At 44.9% G+C, this 8,539-nt stretch overlaps 1 pseudogene; it reads right to left on the bottom strand.

Moving 5' to 3' along the window:
• Positions 464–1,722, bottom strand: GAPDHP24 (glyceraldehyde 3 phosphate dehydrogenase pseudogene 24; annotated as a pseudogene).

The raw sequence follows: 8,539 nt of genomic DNA, 5'->3' as shown, positions 1-8,539 counted from the left end.
CTGGCAAGTTTTCTACCACTGCATGTTCGTCTGATAGCCCCATCTTCTCCCAAGAGATCTGGACTTCAGTCTCAGAGAGAGGTGGAAAGGGCATCTCTTTTAAAATCTTAGTTACTCAGTTTTTCATGGTTATATAGCCCTAGAGGTTGTAGCTTTCGGCATTTACTATTTCTCTACCTCTACAGCCCTCTTTTTCCTCATTTTAGTAATTAATCATCTTTTGCTAGTTAATTCTGTACATTCAAAGTTTCCTATCTAAATTATTGGTGTGGTTTTTATCTCCTAACTGGACTCTGATTGATACACTACCCAAGCGGAGATGCCTTTTAAGGAGCTAGAGATGCAGCTTTAAAGAGATACAGCTTTGAAAGGAAATTCCTATTTGGAAGTCTCCAGAATATTACTGGTATTTATTTTTTTAAGTACATATGAATTTATCTATCCATTATTTATTTAATATTTTTGGCTGAGTACAGGAGACTTTATTGATGGCACATGACAAGGTAGGGATACCTGGGCCCCTCCCTCTTCAGGGGGTCTGCATGGAAACTGTGAGGAGGGGAGATTCTCAGTGTGGTGGGGGACTGAGTGTGGCAGGAACTCTCTAGCAGCTGAGGGCCTCTCTCTTCCTCTCGTGCTCTTGCTTGTGTTGATGGTCTGGGGTTCTGACTCCTCAGAGGCCATGTGGTCTGCGAAGTCCACCACTCTGTTGCTGTAGCTAACTGCACTGTAATACCAGGACATGAGCTTGACAAAGTAGTCATTGAGGGCAATGGCAGCCTCAGCATCAAGGTGGAAGAATGGGTGTCACTGTTAAAGTAAGAGACAACGTGGTGCTCAGTATAGCCCAGGATGTCCTTGAGGAGGCCCTCTGATGCCTGCTTCACCACCTTGTTGGTGTCATCATATTTGGCAGGTTTCTCCAGATGCCAGGTCAGGTCTCGTACCAACATGTTGGCAGTGGGGACATGGAAGGCCATGCCAGTGAGCTTCTTGTTCAGCTCAGGGATGACCTTGCCCACAGCCTTAGCAGCACCCGTAGATATAGGGATGATTTCTGGAGAGCCCCATGGCCATCACACCGCAGTTTCCCAGAGGGGGCATCCATGGTCTTCTGGGTGAAGTGACAGTGATCATGAGTGTGGTCATGAGTCCCTCCATGATTTCCAAGGTTGTCTTGGATGACCTTGGCTAGGGGGCTACTCAGTTGGTGGTACAGGTGGCATTGCTGATTTATAATTCTCATGCTTTATGACCATCATGAACAGGGGGAATCAGCAAAGGGAGCAGAGATGATGACTCTTTTGACTTCCCACCCCATGAGCCCCATCTTTCTCCACAGTAGTGAAAATGCTGGTGGATTCCACAACATAATCAGCACCAGTATCATCCCATTTGATTGTGATGGGCTCTTACTCCTGGAAGATAATGATGGGATTTCCATTGATGACAAACTTCCTGTTCTTAGCCTTGATAGTGCCATGGAACTTGCCATGGATGAAATCATACTGGAACATGTAGACCATGTAGCTGAGGTCAATGAAGGAATCATTGAGGGTGACAATATCTACTTTGACAGAATTAAAAGCAGCCCTGGTGACCAGGTGCCCAATACGGCCAAAACCATTTACTCCATCCTTCACTTTAACCATGGTGTCTTAGGGATGCGGCTGGCACTGCACAAGAAGATGTGGCTGTCTGTCGAATAGGAGGAGCAGAGAGGTGCGGAGCCGGGACAGTCGCGGCGCTGACGCCCGCGGGCCCCAGCTGCAGATATGAAGCGGAGCCGCTGCCGCGACCGACTGCAGCCGCCGCCGCCCGACCGCAGCCGCCGCCGCCCGACCACCGGGAGGATGGAGTTCAGCGGGCAGCGGAGCTGTCTCAGTCTTTGCCGCCGCGCCGGCGAGCACCGCCCGGGAGGCAGCGGCTGGAGGAGCGGACGGGCCCCGCGGGGCCCAAGGGCAAGGAGCAGCCGCCTGCCTTGGCCTCCCAAAGTGCCGAGATTGCAGCCTCTGCCCGGCCGCCACCCCGTCTGGGAAGTGAGGAGTGTCTCTGCCTGGCCGCCCATCGTCTGGGATGTGAGGAGCCCCTCTGCCTGGCTGCCCAGTCTGGAAAGTGAGGAGCGTCTCCGCCCGGCCGCCATCCCATCTAGGAAGTGAGGAGCGCCTCTTCCCAGCCGCCATCACATCTAGGAAGTGAGGAGCGTCTCTGCCCGCCCGCCCATTGTCTGAGATGTGGGGAGCGCCTCTGCCCCGCCGCCCCATCTGGGATGTGAGGAGCGCCTCTGCCCTGCCGAGACCCCGTCTGGGAGGTGAGGAGCGTCTCTGCCCGGCCGCCCCGTCTGAGAAGTGAGGAGACCCTCTGCCTGGCAACCACCCCGTCTGAGAAGTGAGGAGCCCCTCCGCCCGGCAGCTGCCCCGTCTGAGAAGTGAGGAGCCTCTCCGCCCGGCAGCCACCCCATCTGGGAAGTGAGGAGCGTCTCCGCCCGGCAGCCACCCCGTCCGGGAGGGAGGTGGGGGGGGGTCAGCCCCCCGCCCGGCCAGCTGCCCCATCTGGGAGGGAGGTGGGGGGGTCAGCCCCCCGCCTGGCCAGCCGTGCCGTCCGGGAGGGAGGTGGGGGGGTCAGCCCCCCACCTGGCCAGCCGTGCCGTCCGGGAGGGAGGTGGGGGGGTCAGCCCCCCGCCCGGCCAGCCGCCCCGTCCGGGAGGTGAGGGGCGCCTCTGCCCGGCCGCCCCTACTGGGAAGTGAGGAGCCCCTCAGCCCGGCCAGCCACCCCGTCCTGGAGGGAGATGGGGGGGTCAGCCCCCCCACCCGGCCAGCCGCCCCGTCCGGGAGGGAGGTGGGGGGGTCAGCCCTCCGCCCGGCCAGCCGCCCCATCTGGGAGGTGAGGGGCGCCTCTGCCCGGCCGCCCCTACTGGGAAGTGAGGAGCCCCTCTGCCCGGCCAGCCGCCCCGTCCGGGAGGTGAGGGGCGCCTCTGCCCGGCCGCCCCTACTGGGAAGTGAGGAGCCCCTCTGCCCGGCCAGCCGCCCCGTCCGGGAGGGAGGTGGGGGGGTCGGCCCCCCGCCCGGCCAGCCGCCCCGTCCGGGAGGGAGGTGGGGGTGTCGGCCCCCCGCCCGGCCAGCCGCCCCGTCCGGGAGGGAGGTGGGGGGGGTCAGCCCCCCTGCCCGGCCAGCCTCCCCGTCCGGGAGGTGAGGGGCGCCTCTGCCCGGCCGCCCCTACTGGGAAGTGAGGAGCCCCTCTGCCCGGCCACCACCCCGTCTGGGAGGTGTGCCCAACAGCTCATTGAGAACGGGCCATGATGACAATGGCGGCTTTGTGGAATAGAAAGGCGGGAAAGGTGGGGAAAAGATTGAGAAATCGGATGGTTGCCCTGTCTGTGTAGAAAGAAGTAGACATGGGAGACTTTTCATTTTGTTCTGCACTAAGAAAAATTCCTCTGCCTTGGGATCCTGTTGATCTGTGACCTTACCCCCAACCCTGTGCTCTCTGAAACATGTGCTGTGTCCACTCAGGGTTAAATGGATTAAGGGCGGTGCAAGATGTGCTTTGTTAAACAGATGCTTGAAGGCAGCATGCTCGTTAAGAGTCATCACCAATCCCTAATCTCAAGTAATCAGGGACACAAACACTGCGGAAGGCCGCAGGGTCCTCTGCCTAGGAAAACCAGAGACCTTTGTTCACTTGTTTATCTGCTGACCTTCCCTCCACTATTGTCCCATGACCCTGCCAAATCCCCCTCTGTGAGAAACACCCAAAAATTATCAATAAAAAAATAAATTTAAAAAAAAAAAAAAAAAAAAAAAAAAGGAGGAGCAGAGAACCACCGCTCGTATTTAAAACAAAAAAGTAGATGATTATCATGAAGAATGTAAATCGTGGAACTATAAGGGAGCTAAGGAGGGAGCCCTGGGATGCCATCATTTGTGGGACAGGTAGGAAAAGAACAAAATGGGAAATTGTGGGAATGGAGGGAAAGGCAAAATGAAATGAGGGAAAGAAGCTGAGAAGGATTTGTCTTAGAAGTTAAAAAGGAAATCAGAAGAAGCCAGAGGCAGAGAGAATTTCATAGAGTGATCAATAATGCAAATACTACAGGTAACTCAAGTTAACTGAAAACTCAAAATGAATTTAGGAGTAATCTTTTCAAGAACAATTTTAGTGCAGCAGTTTGAGAAGTCAGTAAGAAGAAAGCATGTAGGCATGACAAATGTAAACCACTTTTTTCCTAAACTTGAAACAGAGAGAGTAGCACTGGGCACAGGGACTTCACAAAATCAGTGTCTCAAAGCTCTTCTAGTTTATGTTCACTGTAAATTGGGCTGATTTGGGTTAAATGAATTATCTGTAGGTTCTTCTCCCTTACATGCTCTTCAGATATTTGGTTTTGATCTGCTCAGTGCTCATTTAAATCATCATTGGAAAGTGAACAATAAAAAAGAAAAAGCATAGGAAGCTAAATGCAAGTTTTGTTTTAATCTACCAGCTCTAGAAGCTAGCACTAGCTAAACTTAATTGTGTTGCATTAAACCATCTCAAAAATTTTTGGTTCATTATAAAACATAAATTTATCTACAGGTTTTATTTAGTTCTTCTACACATATCTAATATCCTTAATATCATGCCATTGACTTCATTGACCACTCCAGCATGGTTAATGCAGTGGTGCCATTGCAGACATTTAATAAATTCTGTGGACCAGTGGGAGTTTTCTATATCTGTTGCTTAAAATAGTAAAACATTATTTTCAGAATGAATTTGATGGTGAAGTATACAAAATGGTTTCAATTATAATTCCATGTTCAAATGTTCATAACTTGATGGAAAAAAATGCCTTTTGAACTGAAACTTTCCATTCCATGTTCTAGCTCCATTCAAATATAGTTATTTTTTCTTCTCTGGAAAATTTGAGGAAATCCGTATGAACACTTATGAATGTGGAAAAAATGCACCCTTTCAAATGTTTAATTAAATGAAAGGATCGACAATTACAAAATCTTTAATATAAACTTCCCATACATATTTATAAAAACCAAAATATAAATCTAGTAGGCCTCAGAAAAGAGATCAGGTGTTTACCCATTTAGGGAAAACTCTAATTTTGAATGTTTGCTAATTTGAAACTCAAAACTGTATTATGCAAACACAATAGTAATTTTCACATTAAAACTGATACATTTGAAGTGGCATTGTTGTCTGGGGTAAATACCTGGGGTTCATTGTCTCGCGCACTGAGATTAAGGATATGGACACACATTCATGGAGTGGGTTAAGGAGCAAAAATTAAATAGGTAGAAGAAAAGAGAGAGGAGAGCAGCACTTTCTCTCTTGTGAGAGCGAGGCATCCAAAAGGGAAAAGGTGGCCTGGGGGGACCACAGCAGATTTTATAGGCAGGCTTGAGGAGGCGGTTTCTGATTTATGTAGAGCCCACAGATTGGTTCAACCAGGTGTGATGTGGTGTTTTACATAGCGTTCGGGAAAGGCTGGTCACCCTGCCCTAATCTTATTATGCAAGTGGCCTTTTCACCATCTTGTCTGCTCTTACCTTACACATAGCTGACCAAGGGAAGGAAGCCATTGTGAACATGTCTAGTACCAGGTAGCTTTTTTCTGCCAGCATTCATGGGTGCAGGCTTCCAACTTGTTTGTCTATGTCTGCAGCTCAATTTTACAGGCTGTTCTTTGTTAGAAAATGATTTGGGGGCTTCTTTTCATTAAAAAGGAAAACCTTACCGAGGACTCCCATACCCTTATTATCTGCCCTAGTAGTTTCTCTTTAACTCCTATATCACATTCAATTGCCTTTATAATATGACTACTAACTATTAATTTTTGCTAAATAATACCTGATATACTTTGGATATTTGTCTCTGGCCAAATATCATGTTGAATTGTAATCCTCAATGCTGGAGGTGGGGCCTGGTGGGAGGTGTTTGGATCATGGGAGCATATACCTAATGTCTTGGTGCGGTCTTCACTATAGCAAGTGAGTTCTTGAGAGATGTGGTCATTGAAAAGTGTGTGGCACCTTCCCACTGTCTGTCTGTCTCTCTCTCTCTCTCTCTCTCTCTCTCTCTCTCTCATGTGTGCTCTCTTTCTGGCTCCTGCTCACACCATGCGATGTACCTGTTTCCTCTTCACCTTCCACCATGATTGAAAATGCCCTCAGGCTTGACCAAAAGCCCAGCAGATGCCAGCACCATGCTTCCTGTAAAGCCTGCAGAACCATGAGCCAATTAAACTTCTTTTCTTTATAAATTATCCAGTCTCAGGTATTTCTCTATAGCAATGCAACAACATAATAATACCATACATGATGGGCCAAAGAACAGAGTTGAGAATGGAGATTGTTTTCTGAATTTTCCATGCTCTGTATATAGTGTGTGCTTAATAAATATTTGCTACTCAAATACAATTTGCAAAATATGGCAAATAATTTTTTTATGGCTTAAAGTTAATTTAACCTTCAGAAGTGACTTTTTACTTCTTTTTTCTTTAAATGCAGAGAAGAAATGGGAGAGTGGCTTTCCAGAGATACTAATAGAAGAGAATGTTGCAAGAAAGGGTGATTTCTTATTCAAGTGAGATATATTTGCATCTACTAATTAGAAAGTTATTGGTGATCCCAGAGGCAACAGTTTCAGGAAAATAGTGGGAATCATGAGCCAGAATGTGATGCTTTGCGAAATGAATTGGAGGGACAAGGAGTAAAAGCAATGAAGAGATAGTCTTCTTTAACCTCTACTTTTTAATTGTGTAACACATCATTCAGAGGAGTGTATTTAACGTATGTGAATAGTTAAAAGCAAACACACTGTAAAAGCTTCTAAGCCTAAAAATTACAGCATGACTAATGTCTTTGAATCCCTCTATGCACCTCCTTGAGCACGTGCACTTCCATTCACCAAACATAACCAATAACTGAATCATGAGTTAATCAGTGCCTTGCTTTTCTTTCTACCTTTGCCATGCATCCATACACATATCTCTAAATGACAATTTTATTTGTTTTACCTAATTTGAAAGTTTATATAGGCAGAATCATAATCACATATTCTTCTGAAAATTTCTTTTAATACAGTAATGATTTTGCATTCATTCAGGTTGATTCTTAAAGTAATAACTCATTTATTTTTACTGATACATAGTATTCCTTTCAATTGAGGCACTAAAATTGATTTATCCATTCTCCGGTTAGTGAATACTTGAGTTGTTCTCTATTTTCTGGTATTGGGAAAATGCTGATATTCATGATATTATGCAAGTCCCTGGCACATGTGCAAGAATTTCTCTTACAACATACACAAGAGTGGAATGACTTTGTCATAAGGTATGTGGACATTCAACTTTATTGTGAATTTTTCTGTTTTTAACCAAACTGGTTCACCAAATTAATAATCTTACCATTTGACCACAGCTTCTCCAATACTTAGCATTATCCAATCTAGTGCACTTTTAGTTTGCATTCTCTTGGATACACATTTGTTTAATATATTTTCTCTTGTTTTGGCCGTTCAAGATGGCCTCTTTTGTTCAATCCTAATTTCTTCTTTCCATTTTTTGTTCAATCCTGTTTCCTCTTTTTTGTTCAAACCCAATTAATGTTTATTTTGCCCTTTTTGGGCAGTTGCATTTATTCAATAAATTTGTAGCCATTTTATGTATTTGGTATACGAATTTTTTATTAGTAATACCTGTTTCAAATATTTTCTACCAGGTTGGAATCTCTCTTTTTAGTCTCATTATGGTCTCTTTCGATGAACAGAAATTTAAAGTTGATATAGTCAAATTTATTAATCTTTTGTTTTATGGTTTGTGCTTTTTCTCACTTTTTAAGGACCACTCCACTAACCAATTGTTAGCTCATGTGTTCTTCTAAAAGTTTTGGTTCTTTTTTTTCCATTCAAGGTCTTAATGCATTTCAGAATGGTCTTACTATGTAGCATAAAGTAAGGATTCATGTTCGTGTTTCTTTTTGTTCCATAGAGAAAACGAATTGTTTTAGTAACATACTGTATTCTGAGTAGACATCCTTTCTGCATAATCTACAATCGCACCTTCATTATAAATCAGAGTTTCAGCTATATCTGTGATTGTTTCTATGCTCTCTATTCTATTTCACTGGTCACTTATTTTATCCCTGTGCTCTACTTTCTGTAACTTTATATGAAAAAGTTTGATATCTAGTTAGGAGACTCTACTAATATTGCTTTTCAAGAATGTTTTTGTTATTCTTGGTCTTTTGCACTTCCATGTAATTTTTTAATTGTCTTTTAAAGTTCCACTAGAAAATCCTACCAGGATTTTTATTGCAATTGCATTGAATATATATAAAAATACATATGTATGTGTGTATATACACACATATATAAATATATACATATCCACATGTAAATATGCTTATATAAACTAGAAGAGAATTGACTTTTATTTAGTATTCTTTCTATCCATGAGAATCTCTTTCATTTTATTTAGCTAATAATTAATCTTTCAATTAAGTTTTATTATTTTATTATTTTATCTATACAGCTCTCATATTTA

Source organism: Homo sapiens, chromosome 1 (genome assembly GCF_000001405.40).
Source record: "Homo sapiens chromosome 1, GRCh38.p14 Primary Assembly".
NCBI classification, from domain to species: domain Eukaryota; kingdom Metazoa; phylum Chordata; class Mammalia; order Primates; family Hominidae; genus Homo; species Homo sapiens.
The sequence above is the reverse complement of the archived record's forward strand: the minus strand, read 5'-3'. Positions and strand labels throughout refer to the sequence as shown.